This window comes from Homo sapiens, chromosome 3, assembly GCF_000001405.40.
Source record: "Homo sapiens chromosome 3, GRCh38.p14 Primary Assembly".
In the NCBI taxonomy this organism is placed as follows: Eukaryota; Metazoa; Chordata; class Mammalia; order Primates; family Hominidae; genus Homo; species Homo sapiens.
Genome location: NC_000003.12, coordinates 169,429,231 through 169,455,746, shown reverse-complemented (window position 1 = coordinate 169,455,746; position 26,516 = coordinate 169,429,231). Strand labels below are relative to the sequence as shown.

The 26,516-nt window shown below is 37.7% G+C and overlaps 1 protein-coding gene and 1 long non-coding RNA gene across 7 annotated transcripts in view; one reads left to right on the top strand and one right to left on the bottom strand.

Annotated features, from left to right (window-relative positions):
* Positions 1-7,880, bottom strand: part of MECOM-AS1 (MECOM antisense RNA 1) — a 29,186-nt gene extending 21,306 nt beyond the window's left edge. Inside the window, exon 1 of the long non-coding RNA NR_134932.1 lies at positions 7,812-7,880. This is a non-coding gene — a long non-coding RNA (MECOM antisense RNA 1). The remainder of the gene's footprint in view (positions 1-7,811) is intronic.
* The window catches only part of MECOM (MDS1 and EVI1 complex locus), a 580,206-nt gene that overhangs the window by 207,966 nt on the left and 345,724 nt on the right, over positions 1-26,516 (top strand). The gene's annotated exons all lie outside the window — the stretch shown is intronic.

Here is a 26,516-nt window from a genome sequence, read left to right as displayed (position 1 = left end):
GGGGCTGTGCATTGAGCACTGGCAGGTTATATGAGCTCTCTCAAAGGTATTTGCTCCATGCATGGCTTGTAGTTGGGTTTGTTCACATGTTTACTGTTCTGGAAGTTGTGAAACATGTTTCCAGTTTTTGAGGTGGCTGTACTCACCTGTAAAATATTCCGGAATTATGAGAGTCATTCTCATAGAAATAATGGGGTTTATAGGATAATCCAAAGGAGGTGATAACCCATCAATCAGAGAGTAGTAATCTTTACCTTTTAACTTCTATGATCCCTTTAATAGGAACCACTTGTTCAACTGTCAAAGTTTTTCTCTTGATTCAGGTGCCATCACCAGCCCTGATTAGAGACTACTACACTTTTCCCCAAAGGTGGCGCAGTATAAACGCGGAGATACACTTTATTTTATATGGATATAAATATCCCTAAATTAGGGTGTGCACTTTCTTCATATAACTTTATTTGGTTGCAGAAAAGAATTGAGGGTCACAGAAGAGTATTATAAGAGCTGCATCTTCAGTAGTTCACAACAGATCCATACCTATCTATCATTTTCTGATGTTCAGTTTTTCTGACTTGAGTTCTCTGGAGCTAACCTTATAATGACACTTAGCCTATTTGAATTCTTTTTTTCCCCATCCTTCTTAGATTGTGTAATTGTTTCATTCACATGATGATGTGTCATGTCCTGAATTTTATATCCTGGAAAACACGTAGTAAGTCAAACTTGCTCAGACATGATGACACTACATAGACATGGCTGATTGTAAGAGGAGACAAATGGTTTAGTCTTAGATGTGAGATAAAAATTGGGGTTACTGGCAAGCATTAAATATTTATAAAGCAGCCAATCTTTGGTAGTCATCAGGGAGTGTTTCTGTATGAGGCGTGTCAGGCTTTATAATTAGTTATGGGACTTATTATTATTTGAGTTTTTTGCCATGCTATTTTCTGCCTGTGAAGGACCATTATTTTAAATGTGTAATAAGAAGAGAAATATTGTTTGAGAAAGTGGTCACTTTTCAGTTTTTAAACTTTTGAATAATAATTTATGTGACAGACTCAATCTAGTAGTGACTTTGAATTTTTTTAAATTACATTTTCAAGGATAGTGTTACACCAAAATAAAGATCATGAACTTTAGTGTAAGATAAAAATAATTCTAAAGGTAGGTATCTTCATCTGTCTTAAAACTTTCTCCATTAGGAATAATAAAAACAAAATAAAAGACACAAAGCAAACCTCACATTTTCTTCTGGAAAACACTGTACTTTTGATTCTTAGCAGAAATGGCCTTGTGAATACTTACGGCATTTGTAAATATAACTAAGAAAGGGCTTTTTTTTTTTTTTTTTTTCCTGAAAGAAAGTTGCTACATTACCATCATAAGTTTCTAAAAACTCTTCAGGGAGAGGAAAAGAAAAAAATCCTCCAAACCTTAATAAAAGTTCCCAGCAAAACCATTAGGGATTTCAATTATGAAGCTGTTCTCAAGACTCTTGTAAAGGTTATTTGTTGAACAATTTCTCTGTAACAGTGTATGACAAATTACTCGCTTGGCACTGTAAATGATGCACAAGCCCTTTAATTAGAATATAGCACTCGATATCTTTAAGACCTTCTAACATTTCTTAGTTAATATTATTCCTCATGAGCCTTTCCAAAGAAATGAGGACTTGTTTGTAGAATCGAAATGGGTGATGGAGGAGGGTGGACAGGGACCTTGCACAGGGCTGGGAATATCCAGAAGCCACACAAAGAAAGGAAGGCTCTGACCCCAACAAGTTTTGATTGCAAAGGCGACTCTGATAACAGAGTTTTTTTTTTATTATCCATTGCTTTTAGCCTTATTTACCATCAGGCTCTCTTGCCACAAGCATGCTTTTTAGTTCTGACAGCCCTGAATTATGGCCATTGTGGGATCCTATCTCATTAACTGAAATGGGAGAATAAAACATCAAACAATCATAAAAATAGTTTGGCACTGTGAAACCACTTAGGAGCAGCTGTCAAACAGGTTGGAAGATAAACTTCTAAATAAAAAGAATAGAGACAGCTGCAGTGTCCTGCCATATGCTTCCTCGGCATTATAGACTCCTTAATAATATGAAGTGCCCGTGTTTATGCAGAATAGGCCAGACACTCCATATATGATATTGATTATGCCTTAACCCCAATTTAGTAAAGAAGTACTCCTCCTTTTCCTAATCAGATATTGCAGAAGCAGTTTTCTGAAAGAAAAAAATGTCCCTAATGCCAAGCCATATTTTATCTGCGAAGGCTGTGGCGGGAGATAGGGCTTTGTCTTGACTGTCATTGTGGCTAGGAGCCCAGTTTTAGGACAGCAAGGCCCCTCTGGGGCTCTTCTCCAGCAGTTTCCATCCAGCGATTCAAAAACATACATCTTTATCAAGCTGTTGTTGTCAGACAACATTAGATAATTAATAGGCCATTTGTCAGCCTGCACAAAACATGTTAAAATCCCAAACACAATCAGGATAAATATAGTTGCTTGCTCTCTGAAGGCTTTTTGTTCTGTCATGCAGCCATTGCAGGCAGATATTTGCTATTAAATGAGACTCATTATTAATCACATCTAATGTTAATTAATTAACCACCTCTGTATATTGAGGGCTCTCTGTGACTTTCAATTGTTTTAAGAAGCTAATTGGTAACTTAGCAGTTTACATCTAAGTTACTATTTCCCATTCCATTCATGTAAGGATTTTATTTGGTGAAATATATTTGTTTGCATTTGAGAAATTTCCCTTAAAAAGCCAGCAGTTAAAGTTCTGTGTATAACTATGCAAGAAGTGATTAGGGAATGAAAGCTATGGAAAAATATGTAGCTGCCATTGCTTTTTCTCATGCCTAGCTTATTGAAAATAATTTTTTGTTATTTTCAAACCTTACAGAAAAATAGAAATATTCAACTCTAATTTTTAGTAGATGATGAAAATAAGGATGATACCCAGGGTTAGCCAAATTAGGTATTCATTCATTCACTCACTCATTCAAGAAATATATGGCAAGTATGTGTGCTCAGCTATTGGTCAATTCCAGGCCTTGTGGGAAACCTGGCCCCTCTGAAGCCGGCGCAGAACTGCATTTTAGTTGTTTGAAACTGTGAGCTACTAGAAAGCAGGGACTTGACATCCATGATACACATCCCCTTTGTGTCTAGTACTGTGTTCCTTTACGTGGTAGATGCTGAGTTTGTATTCCTAGAACTGAATCAACAAATTCCAATACAATGTAAATATCTTCTAAATTCTGACTGACTCATGAAGGAAGATGCATAATATAATTAACAGAAATAATAATATCAACATTGATCCATCATAGATTTATGTAGTGCATTTCAGTTTACCAATGGATTTCCCATATGTTAACTTATTTAATTTTTAAAATGTTAACTTATTTAATTTAAAAATTTTTAACAATCATTTTTGTCCTACAAATAAGGGAAAGGCGTGTGTTTCCTAAGCAGTCTCAAGCTTGACCTCTATCACTTGGCCTTTCAAAGAAATCAGCTTTGCTCTGCCAGTCTACCAAGCTGTAGTTGGGCATCGGCCGTGAGTAGTGATGACCCGGCTTACCAAAGCATCTGAGAATATTGATTGATGTCTATTGGAAGATTTGATCCATTCAAAGTTTTTTTAAAAATCGATGGCTATTATTTGGGAAGGACTACCTTGAGGGATCACATATATAAAAAAGCATTACTAGAGACTAGTATTTTGAGAAGAGGAATTATTTGAACATTTCATCAGATAAACAGACAAGCAGAAGTAAGGAGAAAAACAGTTCCCCATCTTTGTGCTTTAAATTATCAGTTAGCAGTGGGGCTTTATGCCTCAGTTTAAGGCAAACCATGTCTATTTTAAACATGCTCGCAGGATAGCTTTTTTCCACATCTATTATGAAAACATTTTAATGTCTTCTGTAATTCTTATTCATATGTAATTATGAATGTCTCACTAAGCGATAGAAATTTTGTGTAAACTGTATTTTACATAGAAATAAAAATCACAAGAATCATCAATGGTATAATACACTAAAGACATCTCTCTAAAGTGTAGCATACAAAATATAATTTATAACATTGCTCATTGAGACCTAGAATATTTTCCCTCACTATCTGGAACTTCTAAGAAATAGGCATAAGAAAGAATGGGACATTTTTCCACAGTTGATGACATGGATGGTGGAGTACCTGGAGATATATGTAGTGTTAAACAAACAGGTAAACATGTAACAAGCAAACCAAAAACCCAACAGCCAAGCCAGAGCTTTCTATCTACTTTCCCTTCTCTTTATAACCACTGGAACCTCTTCACAGCTAAGATGGTTAATATTTTCATAGTACATATTCCTATTCATTTTTACAAGTAGAGTTCTTTTTATGTATAAGACTTTTCTTTACAGAATACTTTTTAAATGGGAAATAAGATGCTGCGCACTTGTGAATATCACATTTTGCTTTTTTTTTTTTCACCATCTTAAATAAAGTCTAAATGAGAGAGAGACAGAGAGAAGTATTTTCAGTCCAAATACATAGGGCATGAAAATCTCACACACACATGCATAGAACAACTTCAGAGCTTAAATTGTTTTATCCCTGTTGAAGGGCTGTTGTTGAATTATGTGTAGGGTGGAGAAAGATGACTGGATTAAAAAAATGTCCTTTAGCTAACAAAGATCTAGATTGGAATTTAACTTGAACCAGTTTGAGTGATATTCCAGAGGCTTTTATTGCTGGAAATAATATTGAATGGAAAACAGTTAAGCTAAGTGGAAATATTTTATATCATAGGATGCCATATTCTGGATTATAATTATATGGCTTTTGCATTCGGTTCCCATTATGAACTTGTGAAAGATCCTTTTCTTCTTATGCAGAGCCTTGGCCTCATTTGTAATAACAGCTCCTGATGCACAGCTTTTGTGAAAATTTCTGCTTTTACTTTTTTAAGGTAAACTCAGTGGTATGTACGTGTAAGGAAGTAGGGAGATTGGCCACGTTGACTAAATCCATTGTCAGGATCTGTGTGTTTTCACGCTCTCTCTCTGAGGTAAAGAATGAAGGCTCCCTTCAAGAGAACACAGCGTGACTACTCCAACTGTCTTCTCTGGCCTCTTTTTTGTCATCATTTTTTTTTTTTCGTTTTGTCCTGAAGATGTAAGCTGCTGTTGTCTAGAGGGAGTGGAAAAGGTTTTTCTTAGGGATGTTAATTTCAAGGCTGAGTAGTTTCCAGTCACCAGGCCTTGCTGGAAGTTTCCTTCAAGATTTGCTTGGAGGCAGCAGGGGCCTATTTGTCTCACCTGCAAGGAACATGGCCTTAAAAAAAATAACAAGAACTTTTGGAAGCTTTTTTAATTAGCACCTTGGAGTCTTTGGCTTTAGACTGCTGATTTGTTAATTCTTGTGGTGATTTTCTTCCTGGTGCTGTGTGTTTAAAGTACTAAATCGTGAATTTCCCGTACAGTCTTCAAAGCTTTTCACTCAAGTGGCCAAATAGGTTTACGTTAGTGTCTTGAGCATGACACATATTTCAGAAATAATATTTGTTCTGGCATAGCCTAATAACTATAAAATTGAGATGCAAACCAGAAAAAATTTCTTTAAAGTCCGTAATGCCATTTTAGAGGGAAATATTCTTTATTCCCTAGACAGAGTAAGAAGCTGCTCTTGTCCAAATTATGAGTTGTGAAACCTTCAGACATAAAAGAAAGCAAAATTGTTGACATGTTATTGGGACATAACTTTTCTCCCCAGTGTTTCTTTGTTGTAGAGAGAATAAGGAAAAGTAAAACAGCAGCAATCTTTCTACAATATTCTTACAGAGGAAAAAGAATTAGAGGGAATATGCTACCCAAGTTTACACCTGCTTTGTAATTCTTTGGTCTCCAGTTTGACACCATTAAGGAAAGTGAGGATTTCAGCCAATTACAGCTGATGGTTTCATTGTATTTCTTTTTTTCCGATGGTATCACATCCTATATTTCTTTACGTATTGTCTCAGACATACATGCATGTAGTTGGATAATGGGATATTCAACATAGCTTACCGCCACCTCACCAAATTATTAAGCTATTTCAAAACAAGAAATAATGCTGAGGGAAAATTTGTATTAGCTTGATTGATTATCTTATTTTAATCCATATTAAAGCTTTAAGTCTCTAGGCGTGGCTCTTTACTTCTAACACCTCATAAATTATAGCTATAATGAAGCAGTCATTTATCCTGAGCTGATGATAAATGGCTTGCCCTAGGAGGAACTAAAGAATAGGCAAGTAGATCATTTTCATATTTGGTGAAAACAATATTAAGTACCCAGACCTCAGTGATTGCCCTAATAAATGAATAATCTGAGGTGAGGGGCTTGGCAGTCAGTGTAAAAAATAACCTGAGCTTTCTCTGTCATTTGTCAGGCTTTGCTATGACAGCATGCATTATGGGTAAATGAGCAATCAGCAAGAACTATGTTATGGCTGGGATGTTTTTGAGAAATTTATCATATGCATTGCTTAGTACCTTAAGACCTTAAGGCTTAATGGCTATAGTGCATGACTGCAAGTGAGCACAGTTCCTATTTACCATGGTATGCTTCATTTGTGCTCCATCTCTCACCTTAAAGAAAGAAAAGACCTTTCGTGATTGAGCTTCATTTGGCTTTGCTTTCAAAATGTTAAGGTCTTTATATGATGTTCTCTCTGTTGACAGATACTACTCCTGGTAGATTGGCTACAGGAGATTTTGGAGTCGTGATTTCAAATAAAATTTCAGGGTCAAAAATTTATCATGGTATGGAGGTGTCAAAATCTGGATTCCAGTGTACCTGAAGCCAAATGTATTATGGAAAGTGACATTACCTCCTTATAATAGTATTAAATATTTAATGGTACTTAAGAATTAAATGATTTTCCACCCTCCTCAAACCACCGAACAGTTGATCTCTTTCATTTATTACGGAATTGGAAATAATCAAGAGTAGTTGAGATGTGAATGCTTCATTGGAATTATGCAATGTGTTATGACAATGTCTGACTCATTATGGTTTGCTGCCATATGCAGTGAAAAAGGAAATCAGGATGCAAACTCCTCTTCCCAGGCCAGGGGTCTCACATGCACACTCCTGTGGATGCTATTCTAAAATATTTGATTAAAGATAATGTGGCTTTACCAGTACCTCTCTTGCCATAATATCCCAAATTTACAGGTGCCTTTGAAGTTAGATGTACACTGAATTAAAAATCTGGCTTTACCCCTAGTTGGATAAATTTGTTTATTAGTTACTCTGAACATCATTTTACTCCTGTGTAAAATGGTGAAAACACTGTCTTGAAGGATTGTTGTGTGGCACAAATGAGATAATGTATAGAAGATGCTTAGCATGTGATGGGCGACCTATAAATAAATACTAAGTTAGTTCTATATCTTCTTAAAATCCTGGTCAGGCACCTAAGCATTCCCACAACGTATAACACGAGTGGCATTTTACAAGATATGGTAGCAAGGCTAGTTGCTCAGTATATTAGATCAAGGAGCTCATGAGACAAATTCAATTACATGAAAATATTTTTTGAATGTCTACTATAGGTCAGGTTCCAGTGATGACCTAAAGATCACCTCACCATTGGTTGCCATCATCACTATAATAGCTTCTAATTTCTCCCCTCTCCTAGCTCTCATCCATAGCAGTTTCCAGTTGAATTTCCAAACTACAGATCTGATCACACCATGACTCCTAGTTGCCCAGCCATTTAGCACCACAAACAAGGGTTTAAATAATACACTTCTGACTTACCATTTCAGCTTCATTTCTTGCCTTCTCTTTTATGCCTATATTCCAGCTATGCAGAGTTACTCACCAATCTTTCATTTGTAGGTCACATTTGTGCTTTTTCTTTGCCTAGAATGTACTTCCTTCCACTCAACTGTCTTGGCATGGCCAAATCCTTGTTCGAGATGTATTTCAAATTTGAGCTCTGGTGTGTAGCCTTTCCAGTCTTTCCAGGTGGAGATGGTTTTTCTTCCTCTTAGTTGTTTCCTGAATACTTTGTGTGTAATAAACCACTCATCATGTTGTGCTGTAAACATCTGTTTGTGTGCTCTGCTTCCCACTATGGATTCCTTGAAGACAGTGACAGAGTTGACATTTTTACTTCTAGAAATTAACATGGTACCTGGAACACAGTAGACGCTTTATAAAGGTACTTTGTAAACATAAGAATCAATGAGAAAGGTATGATTCTGCCTTTCTTTGGACATCTCAAACTCAGAGTCAGAAAAGTTCTTGGTGGGGGGAGATAGTAGATAACCATCCACCTCTTCTTGTGATCTTAACCTACAAAGCCTCACATCCTGCATTATTCATCTGTTCCCTCCCCCAGTCAACTAAAATTTACAAAATGCCTGCTTTGCCTGGCCACCTTCTAGCTACTGAATGAGAAGGTGCATTTTTATAGGAGAAGATGGAGGTGGAGCAGGAGAACTCTAGGGCATGGGTGGCAGAGGGCACCAATAAGACTTAATTCTTCCACCCTTGGGAATTGTAGACATCTTCACAAGGGGTCAAGAAATTGGGTGGTTCAGAGCAATTTCTTTTACATCTCAAGGATGAGGACGACTTGAACTAATGTAGAATCTTCTAGATTGTAGATAAAATGAAGGAGTTGGATTTCAATATTTTACAATGAGGATCCCTTTTCATAACATAAAAAATTCTTAGACCTGTAAGTATTTATTTGTTGACAAAATTATACTGAAAAAAATAACTGAAAATTCAGTAACTGTTAATTAATTTTCCACTTAGTGAACCACAATGGCATGTGCAGGGAGTGCCTAAAGCTTGGTGCACCCCCTGAACAAGCCATCCTGATAGGGATGAGGGCAGTAGCACTGCATAGTCATTAGGAGCATGGGCTTTTGAATCAGGCAGACTTGGGTTCAAATCTTGGTTCTGACACCAGGTATATGATCATGAGAAGCTCTCTCAGTCTTTATTTCCTTAACTGAAAAAACAGTAATAGTGACCTCACAGTGGGTGCAGGTGTGGGATTTAAGATAATAAAGGTAGATAAAGATAACGCACAACACACATAACTACTACCCACTTAATTATCAGGAAAGGGAGGGTAGCTTAGCAAGTTCTATGATGTAAACTCAGGGCAAGGTGGCTCTGTGGAAGACCAGGCTTATTTGTGTAGCGTGGAGAGTGTCTGTATTAGTTCGGTTTTATGCTGCTGATAAAGACATATCTGAGACTAGGAAGAAAAAAAGGTTTAATTGGACTTACAGTTCCACATGGCTGGGGAAGCCTCAGAATCATGGCAGGGCAAGTGGCAAGAGAAAATGAGGAAGAAGCAAAAGCGGAAACTCCTGATAAACCCATCAGATCTCGTGAGACATAGTCACTATCATGAGAGTAGCAAGGGAAAGACTGGCCCCCATGATTCAATTACCTCCCCCTGGTTCCCTCCCACAACACGTGGGAATTCTAAGAGATACAATTCAAGTTGAGAGTTGGGTGGGGACACAGCCAAACCATATCATTCCACCCATGGCCCCTCCAAATCTCATGTCCTCACATTTCAAAACCAATCATGCCTTCTCAATGGTCCCCCAATGTCTTAACTAATTTCAGCATTAACTCAAAAGTCCACAGTCCAAAGTCTCATCTGAAACAAGGCAACTCCCTTCCACCTATGAGCCTGTAAAATCAAAAACAACCTAGTTGCTTCCTAGCTACAATGGGGGTACAGGTATTAGGTAAATACAGCCATTCCAAATGGGAGAAACTGGCCAAAACAAAGGGGTTACAGGGCCCATGCAAGTCCAAAATCCAGTGGGGTAGTCAAATTTAAAGCTCCAAAATGATCTCCTTTGAATCCAGGTCTCACATCCAGGTTACACTGATGCAAGAGGGGGTTCCCATGGTCTTGGGCAGCTCTGCCCCTGTGGCTTTGCAGGGTAGAGCCTCTCTCTTGACTGCTTTTATGGGCTGGCACTGATTGTCTGCAGCTTTTCCAGGTGCACAGGGCAAGCTGTCGGTGGATCTACCATTCTGGGGTCTGGAGGATGGTGGTCCCCTTCTCACAGCTCCACTAGAAAGTGTCCCGGTAGGGACTCTGTGTGGGGGCTGTGACCCCACATTTCCCTACTGCACTGCCCTGGCAGAGGTTCTCCATGAGGGCCCCGTCCCTGCAGCAAACTTTTGCCTGGGCATCCAGGCATTTCCATACGTCTTCTAAAATCTAGGCAGAGGTTCCCAAACCTCAATTCGTAACTTCTGTGTACTCACAGGCTCAATGCCACTTGGAAGCTGCCAAGATTTGGGGCTTCCACCCTCTGAAGCCACAGCCCAAGCTCTATGTTTGTTCCTTTCAGCCATGGCTGGAGTGGCTTGGACACAGGGCACCAAATTCCTAGACTACAAACAGCATGGGGACCCTGGGCCCACCCACAAAACCACTTTTTCCTCCTGAGCCTCCAGGCCTGTGATGGGAGGGGCTGCCATGAAGGTCTCTGACATGGCCTGGTTACATTTTCCCCATGGTCTTCCTACTTATGCAAATTTCTGCAGTTGGCTTCAGTTTCTCCTCAAAAAATGGGTTTTTCTTTTCTACTGCATCATCAGGCTGCAAATTTTCTGAACTTTTATGCTCTGTTTACCTTTTAAAATGGAATGCTTTTAACAGTACCCAAGTCACCTCTTGAATGCTTTTCTGCTTAGAAATTTCTTCTGCCAGATACCCTAAATCATCTCTCTCAAGTTCAAAGTTCCACAGATCTCTAGGGCAGGGGCAAAATGCCTCCAGTCTCTTTGCTAAAACATAGTAAGAGTCACCTTTGCTCCAGTTTCCAACAAGTTCCTCATCTCCATCTGAGACCACCTCAGTCTGGATCTTACTGTTCATATCACTATCAGCATTTTTATCAAAGCCATTCAACAAGTCTCTAAGAGGTTCCAAGCTTTCCCACATTGTCCTGTCTTCTTCTGAGCCCTCCAAACTGTTCCAATCTCTGCCTGTTACCCAGTTCCAAAGTCATCGGGTATCTTTTCAGCAACACCCCACTCTACTGGTACCAATTTACTTGTTTTCATGCTGCTGATAAAGACATACCCGAGACTGGGAAGAAAAAAAGGTTTAATTGAGCTTACAGTTCCACATGACTGGGGAGACCTCAGAATCATGGCGGGGGGTGAAAGGCACTTCTTACATGGTGGCAGCAAGAGAAAATGAGGAAGAGGCAAAAACGGAAACCCCTGATAAACCCATCAGATCTCATGAGACTTATTCACTATCACGAGAATAACACGGGAAGGACCAGCCCCCATGATTCAATTACCTCCCCATGGGTTTCTCGGACAATGCGTGGGAATTCTGGGAGATAGAATTCAAGTGGAGATTTGGGTGGGGACACAGCCAAACCATATCAGTGTTGCTCATGAAAATTTGATGGGGAGTGTCTAGAAATCTGTGACGAGAAGGATGGGCTATGTTGTGACACATCTGGTAAAGGCTTTCAGGTATCTTCCTTGATGTGAGAACTGAGAGTCCTCATAAGATTTGGGAGTAAGGGCAACAAGATCAAAATGATACTTCAGGAACTCTGAAAAAGATTTGGAAGTAGACGGTAGGAAAGACAGGGCAAAGGATAACTTAAATATGTTTCCAAAGTTATCTGCTATCAGTACGAAGAAAGAGCCCTGAGATGCAGTTACGAGAAACTTATGAAAGAGTGAGTTTGGGGATGAAAATATGGGGATTATAAGAAATTCTCTATTTAGTGGGATTTGATGTGAAAAGGGCTCACAGACCTCAAGAGAGTGGAGGAGCCAGAGCTAACTGTCTAGTGCTGAGAGTCCTCTTCTGTCCTCAGAGAGAACTGAAGCAGTTGTTCAGAGTAGCTGGACTTTTCCCTCTGCTCCTCAGGGAGCGATTGCTAAAATGAAAGCCCAAACTGACCTCTGCTGTGTTTTCAGATGAGCACAGCAAGCATCAGACCCAGCACTGTCAGTGGGAAACAGCGGAAGAGTATTGACAGGAGATGAGCCTGTTCAAACAGGATAATGAAGAATAAAATAAATGCCATGGGATTGGATAAGATGGAGGCTGTTGGCAAAGTCAGAGAAGGGCTTTTCATGGAATGATGGGAACAGAAGACAGGTTAAAGCCTTAACTATTTGAGGGCAGATAGAGAAGGCATTCTGTTTTTTGTTTTGTTTCCCTGCTTCTTAACACTGTGATTGGTTCCTAAGATGGGCAAAGATATTACAATATAAACATGGGTATTTAATGCAAACCTATTTCATAGGTCACAATAGGTCTGGGGGTAGATTGGGGCTACATTTCTTCCCCCTTCCCTTCCCCCCACAGAGAGTAGTGCAGCGCCTTAAACACCACAATAGTTACACCATAAATATTTTATGACTGAGTGAGGGTAATGAAGGGACCTAATGTGAGGGGCATGAATGGAATCTTTGATGGTGGCATTTGGAAGAGAGTCAAGGAGCCTGCTCACAGGGAAGAGACCCCACTGGAATTTCCATTAGCAATATATTCTTTTCCATGGGATACCAAGAAATTTCAAAGCAGATTGGAAGGAGAGAAATCCCAGTTCTGGTAGATACTTTCAAATATTATGAGTAGAAAACATAATCTTTATAAACTCATTGTGAATTTTTTTTTTGATGCTGTGGTGGAATAACTCCTCTTTCAAGGGGTTTATTCACTGAAATTCAGCAGACAGTTACTGAGCACCTACTGAATGTTAGACACTGGACTAGGTTCTGTGGAAGTGTTGAAAAGAATACAGACCTCCATTCAAATGACTGTAATACAAAGCAATGTATTAGGGCCATAAAGATACTACTCCATTTGACCAATTCTGTATTCAGGGTCAAAAACTATAGATAAAAAAAAATGTGAAAACCTCATCGATGGTGGTGTTTCCAAAGTTATGGGGCACCTTGAGTCCAGTAGTAGAAAAGAGACCACAAAAACTGTTTCTGTGCCTTCATCTGCAATAGCCTCACTTTTAGAAAACTCTTCTTATTTGTTTGTTTTGCCTGTTTGCCTCTTTTGATGTCTTTATTCTTCCACTAAAAGTTAGTGGTGATTGTCTCTACAATCTCCTTAATATATGATTCTTTGACATGAAACATCTGAAGCTTCCTTTCCTGGCATGGAAGAGATTACATTAGTATACCCACCTAATTGGGATACTTACCTGCCTAGTCACTATGGATATTTTTATCTTGTTACTAGCAACCTCTTATGTTTTCTGTGCTTACTAGAAAATAAAAGCAGACTATTAAAACTCTCTAATTCATACTTTAATGGCATATAGAAGTTACTCATAAGAAGTGTAACACAAGCCTGGGCAAGGTGGCTTACACCCTGATCCCAGCACTTTGGGAGACTGAGGTAGGCAGATCATCTGAGGTCAGGAGTTCGAGACCAGCCTGGACAACATGGTGAAACCCCGTCTCTACTAAAAATACAAAAATTGGCTGGATATGGTGGCTCATGCCTGTAATCCCAGCACTTTTGGAGGCTGAGGTGGGTGGATCACCTGAGGTCAGGAGTCTGAGACCAGCCTGGCCAAAATGGTGAAACCCTGTCTCTACTAAAAATACAAAAATTAGCTGGGTGTGGTGGCATGTGCCTGTAATCCCAGCTACTCAGGAGGCTGAGGTAGGAAAATTGCTTAAACCTGTGAGGTGGATGTTGCAATGAGCTGAGATTGTGCCACTGCACTCCGGCCTGGGCAACAGAGAGAGACTCCATCTCAAAACAAAACAAAACAAAACAAAACATAACAAAACAAAACAAAACATTAGCCAGGCGTGGTGGTGGGTGCCTGTAATCCCAGCTACTCAGGAGGCTGGGGCAGGAGAATCACTTGATCCCGAGAGGTGGAGGTTGCAGTGCACTGAGATTGCACCACTGCACTCCAGCCTGGGTGACAGAGCAAGACCCCCCCTTTTTTAAAAAAAAAAAAAAAAGAAGAGAAGAAGAAGTGTAACATAGCTAAAAAAAGCATCTTTTATTTCTGATATTCCCATCTGCCAAAAATTTTATGCATATTTGACATAATTGCAGACAAGTCCATTGTAGCAACTAAAGTCTTTCTACATGCACGTAATACCATGGTGTTATCTGAGATTTGAGATGTTGTGCATCTCAGATTTGCTAAGGAAATGTAAAATGAACATTTTTCTGTCTCCTATAGTCTTTCTATTTTTTGATAAAGATAGAATTCTTGGGTTTGGTGAAAAGGACATATGCTTACTAGTATATGTCAGTGAATGTGCTAACAGGCTTGTACTGGTACAGAGTTTTAAAAATGGGTATGATTCAAATAGTTAAGTTGCTATATACACTCAAAGTATTGTTTGGTGATAGAAATTATTATTATTGTAACATTTTTCATTTGGTACAAAATCTTTGTCATACAGCACAGAAACGTGAATATCTTGGTTGCGCTGCTTTAGAGATGAAGGTTCTGTCCAAGGCACCAGTGGCTTGAATTTCTCCTGGAGGGCCATGGACTCTGTCTGTCCACTCAGCTCAGGCTGAGCTGTCACATCAGCCAGCTTGGGAAATGGCTACACGTGTGTCTACCCAGGCTGCCCAGAGCAATGTCCAGGATTATTAGACTCATTGTTATCTGTATTCCTCATGTCAGTGCAGTTTCTGCTCCTCTAGATTATTTAAACTATTTGGGAAATTAATTGTGCACCTAAGGTATTGTCAGCTCTGCAGATAGGAGGATCAGCTGGCCTCTGTGCCTTTAATGAGATGAAATTTTCTCAATGATCCTGGCATTTAATCCTTGGTAGACCACCCAACATGAATATCTCTTCATATCCAGAGGTGATTACTTGACTCTTGGGTCTGGGGTGAGCTGTCTAAACTGGTGGAGAGAAGGGGCTAGTTGTGTTCAATTTCTCATCTCCCCCTCCCAACATCACCAATATGAAGGGGAAAGAGAAGTTGTTTCCTTCAGAAGCTTTGGAGGGCATATGGTTTATCCCTAAAAAGATAAGCAATGATAACAGGTCTCATTACAAGTATGACAATTGTAACTTGACATAAAATAATCCAAACCTTGTCAATTCACTCAATTGCAAACTATTTAGAGTGTTGTCTTCCCCCACCCCAACCCCACTCCCTCCTCCCACCCCATCCCCAACCCTTCTAGCACCTTACATGCCAACAGGCTTCCATCTTCCTTCAATCCCTTGCTCATTGGGTTTCTCCTGCCTGGAATGCTTTTCTTGGACCTCCACTTGGCAAATTTTACTCATCTTTCAAGGCTTCCTCCATGAAACCTTCCTTGGCCCCAGCATGGGCTCCACAACCCCTCTGTTTTGATTCTCTGTCTATTAAAGCATTTCGCATTTCAACAAGAAGGCTTCCAAACAGGATTGTGAGCTGTGTACAGCCAAGCAAAATTTTCTTAATTATTATTATTTTATTACACAATTCTTGATATATTGAAAAGAATATATATATACACATATAAAACATAACATATATGATATATGTAGAAGTAATGGAATATAAAAATAAAATGAACACTTGTGAACTCACTACCTAACTCAGGAAGTGGAACACAACCAAATTATTTTATCTCTCTATGTGCATTTTCCCTATTTCATTCTTCTGCCTTACTCTAGAAGTAAGCCCTCCTCTGAACTTTAATCATTCTTCTACTTTAAAAAATGGTTTTATTGCTTATGTATGTATTACCAAACAATATATTGTTTGGCTTTGCTTGTTTTTGAGTTAGAAATTTTTTCCTGGGTCTTGCTTTTCTACATGCAATATTTTGTTTCCAAGATTCACCCATGTTATTCATTTTCACTGTTGTATAATATTTCATTTTGTGACTATACCACCGTTTATTTATTCATTTTCTTGTGGATGTGTCTTTTGGGTTTGCAGTTTTTCATATAAGGAATGTGGACAAGAACAGCCTCAAACATGTCTTCTAGTATGTACGTACAAGACTGGAATTGGCATGTCAGGGATATAGCACAAGATAGTACAATATTGTTTGGAAGTAATTGTGCCAATTTACACACACATCAGCAATGTGCAAGAGTTTCTGCATTCTTCACATGTTTATACCACTTGGTATTACCCTATTTGCCCATCTAGGAGATGTAAAATACTATCTCATTACAGCCTTAATTTGCATTTGATTTCACATGTTTGTGGACCTTTTGTGTTTCCTATTTAGTGAAATCCTGTTTATGTCTATGGCCTATTTTAACATTGAGTTTTTGTTTTAGTCTTATTTATTTTAGAAGTATTCTGGATACTAATATATTCTGGATACTAATATTTAGTTAATAATATATTAACTATATTAATATTAAATAATATTAATAATATTAATATTCTGGATACTAATCCTTAGTTAATTATGTATATTTTTAAATATCTTTCCTAGTTTGTATTTTCTTTCCTTATGCTATCTCTAAATGAACAGAAGGTCTTATTTTAATGTAGTCTGTTTTATTTTAGAAGTATTCTGGATACTAATATATTCTGGATACTAATCTTTAGTTAATAATATATTAACTATATTAATATTAAATAATATTAATAATATTAATATTCTGGATACTAATCCTTAGTTAATTATATATATTTTTAAATATCTTTCCTAGCTTGTCTTTTCTTTCCTTATGCTATCTCTAAATGAACAGAAGGTCTTATTTTAATGTAGCCTGTTTTATCAGTCTTTGCTTTTGTGGGTAGTAATTTGTAGGTCTTGCTTGAGATTGTTTTTAATTTATGTTTTAATCTTTGCCCCCAGCACCCAACCTAGATTCACAATTACAGTAAATTTTGGTTGAAAATAATGAATTAATAAATACTATGGACAGAAGATTAATAAAAAGTTGTTTTATTTGCCAAACACACATGGTTTTAAATGATTGGATCGAACACTGCATATTGGAACAAGAAAACCCGATAGTACCTGAAACATTTCTTCACGTGCTGGCTGTGGCCATCTCTATGGCCAGCCAGTACCCCATCCATATCCCTTCACCATTTCTGTGCATATTCACGTGACTTCCAAATGCTTTGCCTGAGACTGCCCGGCCAGAGCATGGGGCAGGTCAGAAGTGTGAGGAATTACATCCCCTGGGATAAGCTCTCAACAAATGACTGATGGGAATCGGTGGATAAAACCCCAGATCCCTCACCTCAGCTGTGCTGATCTAGAGTTCCCTAGTGCTAACTCGATTGATAGCACACCCTTTGTTGACTTCTGGCCCTTCTCTGTCTCACTGCATACTCCCTTAACACACGTTTCCTGGGACCACCTCTGAAATAAACTACGGACTCTTGAACCATTGTCTCAGGGTCTGCTGGTGCAATTAAGAATGTTTGAATGTCAAATTTTGACTCAGAAACTTGAATACTTATGATTTAGGATTGAATAATCTTTAAAAAAAAAACAAGCAAAATGTTCTTATTGTTATCCTGTAATTGGGCAGCTATTACTGGGTGAAGCCCAGAGTGAGAAGGTGTATAGTTTAGGGATAAAGCGCGTGGGCTCTAGAGCTAGACAATCAGGGTTTGAATTATGGCTGTTTAAAAATCATTTATTCTTTTTCCTAATATTACTGCTTCAATTTCCTTACATATAAAATGGGGATGAGAGTCATATCTACCTCATGGGCTATTATGAGGATTAAATGAGCTAATATACGTAGAGTGCTAAAACTAGTGTTTGGCTCATGGTTGTGTCGTATACTTTCCTGGAGCCATTGAATAATAAAACATCCCTTGATACATTTTAGGAGGATGAGATTTTTATGCATTTCTTGTCACTCTATATATGACATTGCAATTAGGCTCTGCTAAAAGTTTAGGAAGTCTGGTCTAGCCATTCAAAAATAACTTTCTAATTGCTTTTAAGGAAAAAGTTCTAATCTAAGTGTTGAACTCTACTCTGAGACCCCCTTTAGCACCTGGAGAGAAGGAAAAATGCCATATGAAAACACGTTTCTCTATAAATCTACGCTTTTCATTTTTCTTTAACTCAAGAATAGCTTTACCCCTATTTGCTGGGTGTTACAGGTGGACAAGAGGGAAATATATAAAGAAGGTTTTTGTCTCCAAGAATTACATTCCAAAAAGTTTGACTCTGTTAAATGGAGAGAGTTATAATTTGAATCTCTGTGGTTATCAAAGAAGGTGCTTTTGTGAATATTATGTTAACTAATCTTGGAGATTCTATCATGGGATCCGGTTTGAGTTCCTTAAACTTTTCTCTTCTTATGACTAATAATTGCAAAAAAGTTAATATTTGAATGTCTCCTATACGTTTAACAATAAACCTTCCTGTATAGAAACTAGGCTTTATCTGAGACCCAATTTAATAGATTGATTTTAGTTAACCAATACATTTTCCTTGCATTTCAAAGTATTTGGGACACAGCTTAGTTCAATGGCAAGTTAACTGGATTTGAAGCCAGAAAATCTGGCATTGTCCACCCCCAATTAGATTTATGACAGTGGAGAATATTAGTTTAATATTGTAAGCCTTGGTTTCCTTATCTGGGAGATGGAGAAAATAATGAAATCTAGTTACAGAGCTGTGTGAATCATAAAGTCAAATACAAAACTCTAATTGGTTCATAAAAGATTTTATTTTACTCACGAGACTTTTAAAGTACTCTGAAATTATTTTTAGCCGTAGCAAAATAACTTCTTCATAATTTTTTCTCTTTTATTCTCTATGATTCCAGAAAGAAAATTACCCTTAAAATATATTTTTTCTAATGAATAAAATAATCCTGTTATGTCGTTCAAGCTCAAGTATTTTCAGTTGTATTGACTTGGACTCTTTAGTCAAAACATAAAAACTTATTGAGAATAAAAAATTTCCAAAAATTTTTAATATTCTTAATCCAGAGTCATATTTGTTTTTCAATATAAATAACATTGAATATTTATCCAATTCAGTCAGTCTAACACATAGTTTTTGAGCCCTAATTATGTGTTAGTTACTGTATTAGGCACTGAAAAGTGATTGAAAAAAAGGATTTTTTATTTGGCAACATAGTATCAATGTCAAAAGAGAAAACTATAATTTCACCATTAATTTTGCTAATCCAAATCGTATTGAAGAAACTGACGTGTAGAAAAGCCATTTAGGGCCAGGCACGGTGCCTCACACCTGTTATCCCAGCAATTTGGGAGGCTGAAGCAGGCAGATCACCTGAGGTCGGGAGTTTGAGACCAGCCTGACCAGCACAGAGAAACCCCGTCTCTAATGAAAATACAAAATTAGCCAGGCGTGGTGGCGCATGCCCGTAATACTAACTAGTTGGGAGGCTGAGGCAGGGGAATCGCTTGAACCTGGGAGGCGGAGGTTGTGGTGAGCGGAGATTGCGCCATTGTATTCCAGCCTGGGCAACAAGAGCGAAACTCTGTCTCAAAAAAAAAAAAAAAAAAAAAAGCGATTTAGCCAGAATTTCCCTTTTTTTTTTGCGTCATAGACTCAGAACCAATTGCAAAACATAAGCACAATGTGATATTTCTTCCTCAGCTATGTAAACAAAGACGTGCATACAAATAAGGGGATATGGATCTTCTTACCATATTCAGAAATAGCCAGTTGTAGTCTGTTTTTTATGTCAACATATTGTGAAAGATAATTGAAATTCCAGCAAGTGCCTATGTTATTAACAGTGGAGTTGATGCCATTATAATCTTGTAAACATCCAGGGAAATACAGCCAGATACATTGAAGAATGATCAAGTTTTGTAACCGACTGTAGTGCTTAATAATGTTACCGTTTTGGTCCATTATTGGAATATTGTATCTGCTTGAATTAATGTTTATAATGGCACTTTACTGCTATTGTCTGCTTGTTTTTATACTGATTTATGTGGTTATTAGACTGAATGCAATTTATGTTGAATTTTTTCAAGAAATGCAGTTTAGCAGAAGCACAAGTCGTTCTAAATAAACGGAATTAAGAAATCAAAGATACAGAAGACACTAGTTTTGGCCCTCTAATTGTCTACAGCAAGAAAATATATATTTTAAAAGGAAATATGAGTTCACAAGAAGATAAATAGACACATAATCCAGAGGCCAGTTGCTGGCAGAATTTCTTAGTTTGATGTGACTCTCTTTTTGACAGTTCTCCTAAGGTAGGTTATTTTGGAGAAAACATATGTTTCCATTTTCTCTCCCTCTGCTTCCCTTTGGGTCCCCAGGCTCCACTAGGGTCACAGAAACATTAAGGCTTTTGTCACTGTGATTAATAGCTCTTAAGATCATCTTTAATTCACTCACTAATGACTGAGGGTCTTTCTGCTCTCCAAGTAATCGGGTGATGTATGAGCCGATAGTACACCTTGTGGCAGAGGTGAAAATCATTCAGGCAATGCAAATATTGTCACGGGAACAAATGTTTTCCCTGTTAATAAAAATTAATGAATTCTACCCAGGAGCTAGTTAAGGAAGCTGTGGCGAAGGAAATCCAAACACAAATAACTTCTTACTGTTAAAAATCACTTATGTATTTTTTCTAGATATAGAAAAAGACCATCATTGCTGCATATTTCCATAAGAGATGAAATAATGACAAACTATAGAAATGCACTATGTTGTTTTTAAATTATCTTTTTCAGGTTCTTGAGTTTATTTAAAATTGTGAACTTTGGCATCTTATTTGTTTTAACCTTGGTTAAACTACAGGCTTCCCATACTGTACTAGCCTAATGAATACATTCCTCTTTTCATAGCCTAGTTAGGACCAAGAATTATAGTGGTCAGGGTTTATAACTATAAAATGATGTAATGAAGTTTAAATTTGAGAAACTCCTTGTAACACATCATAAAAGATTGATGAAACAGACTGGAGATTAATAAGTGGTTCAAATAGTTTTGAGAGAAAAAACAACAAAAACATTTAACACTATCATTATATTTATTGAATTCTTTAAAAATAAAAACATCTCCTCTCTTAAAAATTTGCCTCACATCATTAAAGCTTTTTCCTTACTACATCTACCTCAACCCCAGTTCATTTTGTAAGACAATAAATGTACAATGTTGTGAGGTGTGCCTGCTCTTTATGTACAGACACTTGCTATAGAAATAAATCTGCTGTCTTTTTGTTTCATTTTGATAGTCCATGATTCTTTCTTCTAATGACCAAAATTCATTGTCTCAATGGAATAAATATTTCTGAAATAGCTCCCAGTCCTTCCCCTATCATTTACATCTTAGAACAAAACAAAAAAAAAACAGTAAACTTTTTATACATCATTTTACCTCTCCACTGTGCTTATCTACAAAGGAACATATTACTGAGGAGGAAAAAAGCTCAACTTGTTACTATTATTTCTGGTAGGCACCCAAGGAGAGTAGCTAATTTGTTTTTCATCAATGCCAAGGACAAATTAAAACAAAAAACCTAACTGAATTATGCATTTATATGTGCTTGCTTCTAAAGTATGCTTATTTTCCCCAGAATGTTCAAATGAAAACATAAAAAATTTGACTGTATATTTGTTTAGTATCTCAGAATCTATTTATACAATTTTTAAATTAACTGAATTTTAAAATTATTGAAGGACATGTGGTATTCATTATCTAAATAAACTAAATTTGAAAAATATTAAAGGGAACATAATCTTAATTATCAATTACGTTTTGACACTTGGAGAATGGGTAAAATTAAAGAGGCAATTTCTGCCACCTCCCCATTATTAAGAATAAACCCTTTTTTTTCCCAGATGAATTCAGATAACAGCTCTCCAACGTTAAACTTGGAAGTAGGATTTTTCTCTAGATAGGTGCTTCTCCAAATGTGATCTTTGAATCTCCTGCGTTCAAACATTTGAAAGGTCTCACCCTACAGTCACAGTAAATCTCTGGGGACAAGCCCTGTGTATTTGCATTTTTAACAAGCACTCTAGATGATTTTTCACAAAGGTTAAAAACTACTGCTCTCAATGTTATTGAAAGAAATTTTCTTTCTTTCTTTTCTTTCTTTCTCTTTCTTTCTTTCTTTCTTTCTTTCTTTCTTTCTTTCTTTCTTTCTTTCTCTTTCTCTTTCTTTCTTTTCTCCTTCCCTCCCTCCCTCCTTCCCTCCCTTCCTTCCTTTTTTCCTTCCTTCCTTCCTTCCTCTTTCTTTCTTTTCTTTCTTTCATTCTGTCTGTCTGTTTGTCTTTCTTTTCTTTCTTTCATTCTGTCTGTCTGTCTTTCTTTTCTTTCCTTCTTTCGAGTTTCGCTGTTGTTGCCCAGGCTGGAGTGCAATGGCGTGATCTCTGCTCACTGCAACCTCTGCCTCCTGAGTTTGAGCAATTCTCCTGCCTCAGCCTCCCGAATAGCTGGGATTACAAGTGTGCCCCACCACACCCAGCACATTTTTGTAGTTTTAGTAGAGATGAGGTTTCACCATGTTGGCAGACTGGTTTCAAACTCCTGACCTCAAGTGATCCACCCGCCTTGGCCTCCCAAAGTGCTGTGATTACAGGTGTGAGTCACCATGCCCGGCCTAGTCAAAGAAATTTCATCATGACAACATTGGTTCTAATATATAGAATACTTTTTTTCCATTTACATAAAATGAATTTTCCACAATTGGGTCTCACCGTTTCTATAAACTTTTATATCTTACCCTTGATTCCAAAAGAAAAATGTTGAGTTTACACAGCTTCAGTACATACCTGGTGGGTAAAGGGTTTGGGCAAGTGCAGACAGCAAGGAAATCAAATATGAGCTTTTTGCCCAGAGAAGTTCTAATCACATAGTAAACAGTTAGAATTTACACGGGTCTTTATTTAATTAAGCCTGAGAACCACTATTTAGTTGCAGCTGGAGCAGAATCTTGGCACAGAATAGAACAATCTACTGTAGCCTTTAACCTTTTCCCTTTTAACTGTGCTTATAAGAAGGTGTGTTTCTTTAAAAAGGTGCTGCATATCTTTAAGCACTGTTTGTAGTCTTTGATATAAGGGTCACCTCACTGTGCACACATTTTAAAATTCAATAGTAAAGAAGAAGAATGAAATAGATGTATAGCCTAACAGGGCTTTTTGTGTTCTATGAGGTTGAAATAATTTATCCACATGATGAACCTTCATATTTTAAATGTTTTCTGTAATTTTTAATGAAGAAAGTATATGTCTGTTTGTGTGTTAGAGAGGGAGACATTGACATCTGCTTTACTGTTTCATAAGTCTTTGAGATCAGCTAAGGCTAAATAATGAGAAGAAAAAAATGACAGCCCGGCACAGTGGCTCACGCCTATAATCCCAGCACTTTGAGAGGCTGAGGCCAGTGGATCATCTGGGGTCAGGAGTTCGAGACCAGCCTGGCCAACATGGTGAAACCCTGTCTCTACCAAAAATACAAAAGTAGCCGAGTGTGATGGTGCACCCCTGTAATCCCAGCTACTCAGGAGGCTGAGGCAGGAGAATCACCTGAACCTGGGAGGCAGAGGTTGTGGCGAGCCAAGATAGTGCCACTGCACTCCAGCCTGGGTGACAGAGCAAGACTCTGTCTAAAAAAAAAAAAGACAGTAGTACTATCACAAAAATGACAGTGGAACTATCACTTTTCTTCATGACAAAGGGAGAGAATTAAACAAGATTCATACTAGGTCTCGAACTGTTGTCTCTCTGGCCTACAGTCAGTTTGTAGACACATGTAGTTTGGCTAACACAATGTGAAAAAAAAAAAGGTGAAAAACCTCACCCCAAAATCCAAATTTCTGATTTATCTTGAAGTATCAGATTATGTGGCCATATCAAACCAGTTTTCTCCATGGCAACACTCAGCCATACCTGATAGCAGCTCCCTCCTTTAGATGGAGCATGGCCTCTCCTAACCCCTTGGTCTGTGCCATCTCGTGTTGCCTTACACCTCATTTACCTGGTATGCTGGATGCTCTTAGCCATTTCTATATGTAAGTACTAATTCATGCTACTGAATTGAGAACCCCAAACAGGAGAATCTAAAAATCTCACAACCGTGTGTATTTGGCTTTAGGATTTGTGGCAGACCAGTCTACCTAATTGTATTTACCATGGAAAATATTGAAATTAGTCTGTGCGACTTTGAATCTAATCAGGTGAGTAAATCAGGGAATCCATCAGGGAATTACAAAGTAGGGAAGTTAACTTGAGCTCAAAGTTTGAAATAAGGGCTTTTTTTTCTTGTGGTACCATTTGGCAACAGGTCAAGGGACCTTTATTTCTTCTATGTAGGTCTTAGAGACCTATAATTCTGGAAGACCCCGGTTTTGATAATGTTCTACTAGCAACGGTAAGCCAGTAGGCAGTGCCAACTTTAGAAAACAATTATCAGGACATCTATGCAAGGTATCGCAGCCTCTTAGTAACCACAGGAAGTTCCCAGCCTCTCGCCACAAGCTTGAGTTTCCAAGGCTGACAGGTCCCTGCTACTCCCTTCCTACTCCTCCCACTTGAAGAAAGGCCACAAGTTCAGATTTCCCCACCAGCTAATGACTTTGGGTTTGTCTAACTCTGGCTGTAAGCTCTTTGGCATAGTTCAACCTTGCTTCTTTCAGAGGACAAATCTTATCTTTTTATTAGCAAACAGGATGGCTTAGATATGTCTTTATAGGACATTTGCTGGAGCATAATTTAATATGACTCATTTCCCCTTATATATAAAGACAGTGACTGAAACAGACAAGGGGAAAAACAAGCCCAAAAATGTTATTAGAAACTTGCACTTGAAAATGTGTAAAATTCTACTGCAGCTGGGGGATTTATTTAGAATGACTTGGCATTCTTTGCTTGGATGTCTAAATAGGCCTTGTGATACCATTTTTGGCCTCACTTTGAACCTAGTGTAATAAAGAAGGAAATGAAAGCAAAGGTAAACCTAAAGTATTGTTTTACTCTAAATGCTTTCAGTAAAGGGTCTTGTTATCTAATGATTGGTACTAGATGGCTGGTATAAATCGTATGGTCTGTTCTTTGCACTCATGGCTAAAGGAGGCAAAGGCAAAGGAAATCAATTGGAACTAGCAGGTAACAAATGACCAGTCTTAGGCAAACATAGCAGGTAGGGAAAATAGACTTGTGGACACAGATTACTAGGAAATAGTGCGGGAGGCCTTTTTCTCCTTATTCAAAATCCAGTGCAATTATACAAAGTAACTAATTAGACAATTATGAAATACAGGAATTGTTTTATCTGTTACCACTGTAAGCCTAGAACCTGAGAGCTATTAGTTTTCCAAGGGCCTAAAAAATTACTTGAAAAAAATTACTGGCTTAAAAATATGAATGAAAATGATAAAATCACAATTAATAAATGTTTATTAATGTAGTACTATGTCATCCAGTCCAGTATAATTCAAATCATCTAGAGTTGTGTTTTAATTATGTTAAATATAGAGTGTGGTTACATTTTAATTTTTGATATAACATAGGATGCAGCTTCCAAAATTAAGTAGCTAGGACAGGCAAAAGTCTTAAAATGGCCCTGATGAAAGATTGCATTTTATAGCTATATAACATTTTCTGCCAGAGGCCATCCAGAATATTGGAAATGAGGATTTATTGAAAAACAAATTACCTTTAGCTAGTTCTATGAATGGAATAGACTTACTGTTCAAAGTAGAATCTTACCAGGGAAGGCATCAATGAACATTCTACTTCTAACTTCTCTAAACTCACGCCATTCTTAATCATTTTTCAAAGTTTATTTTCTTCTTTTAGAGTTAAGTGCCCTTCTGCAAAGTACAAGTCAAGCTATATCTTTGAACTTTCAGCTGTAGGAGAGACAGTGGGACTCTGCAACACAGAGACTACCTGATTCTGCATTTATGCCATTCCTCTTGCTTTGTTGTTGAGGATTTTTTATGCACAATATCTTATTTGATCTTCACAACAATACACTGACGTAGAGAAGTGGTAATATCATTGACTCTATTTGGCCAATAATGACATGGAGACTAAGAGGGATTAGTGACACAGTATAAGGTATGCAACTATTAAGTGTGGAAGGGCCTGGAACTAAAATCTTTTCATGTTAAACCCATTAAACCTGTTACTACATCTAGCTACTGGACATGTATGAGTTAGGATATTTCTAGAGCCGAATTTTCAAGATGTTTTCTCCCTATAAACTTTACATCTCATCTGGTAGAAAATATGTTTACTCATCCATGCAACATTCAGGCAACAAATATTTGTTGAACATGTGCTATGGGTCAGATAGCATGCTAGTCTCTGAGCTTGTGATGGAGAATAAGATAGATACATTCCTTCCATTTTGCAGCTTGCATCTGAGGTTACATTCACTGCTTAGACTGAATCTGAGTCAATGTAATCTATTCTTTATACTGCAAAATTATTTAATTAAAAAAGTGAATCTTCTCTACACCAACCCTAAGACAGACAGATACACACCCACACACGTAACACCTATACACAGTGGTTTAATAGGAAGCTTGATTGAATTGTCCAGCAGTTTG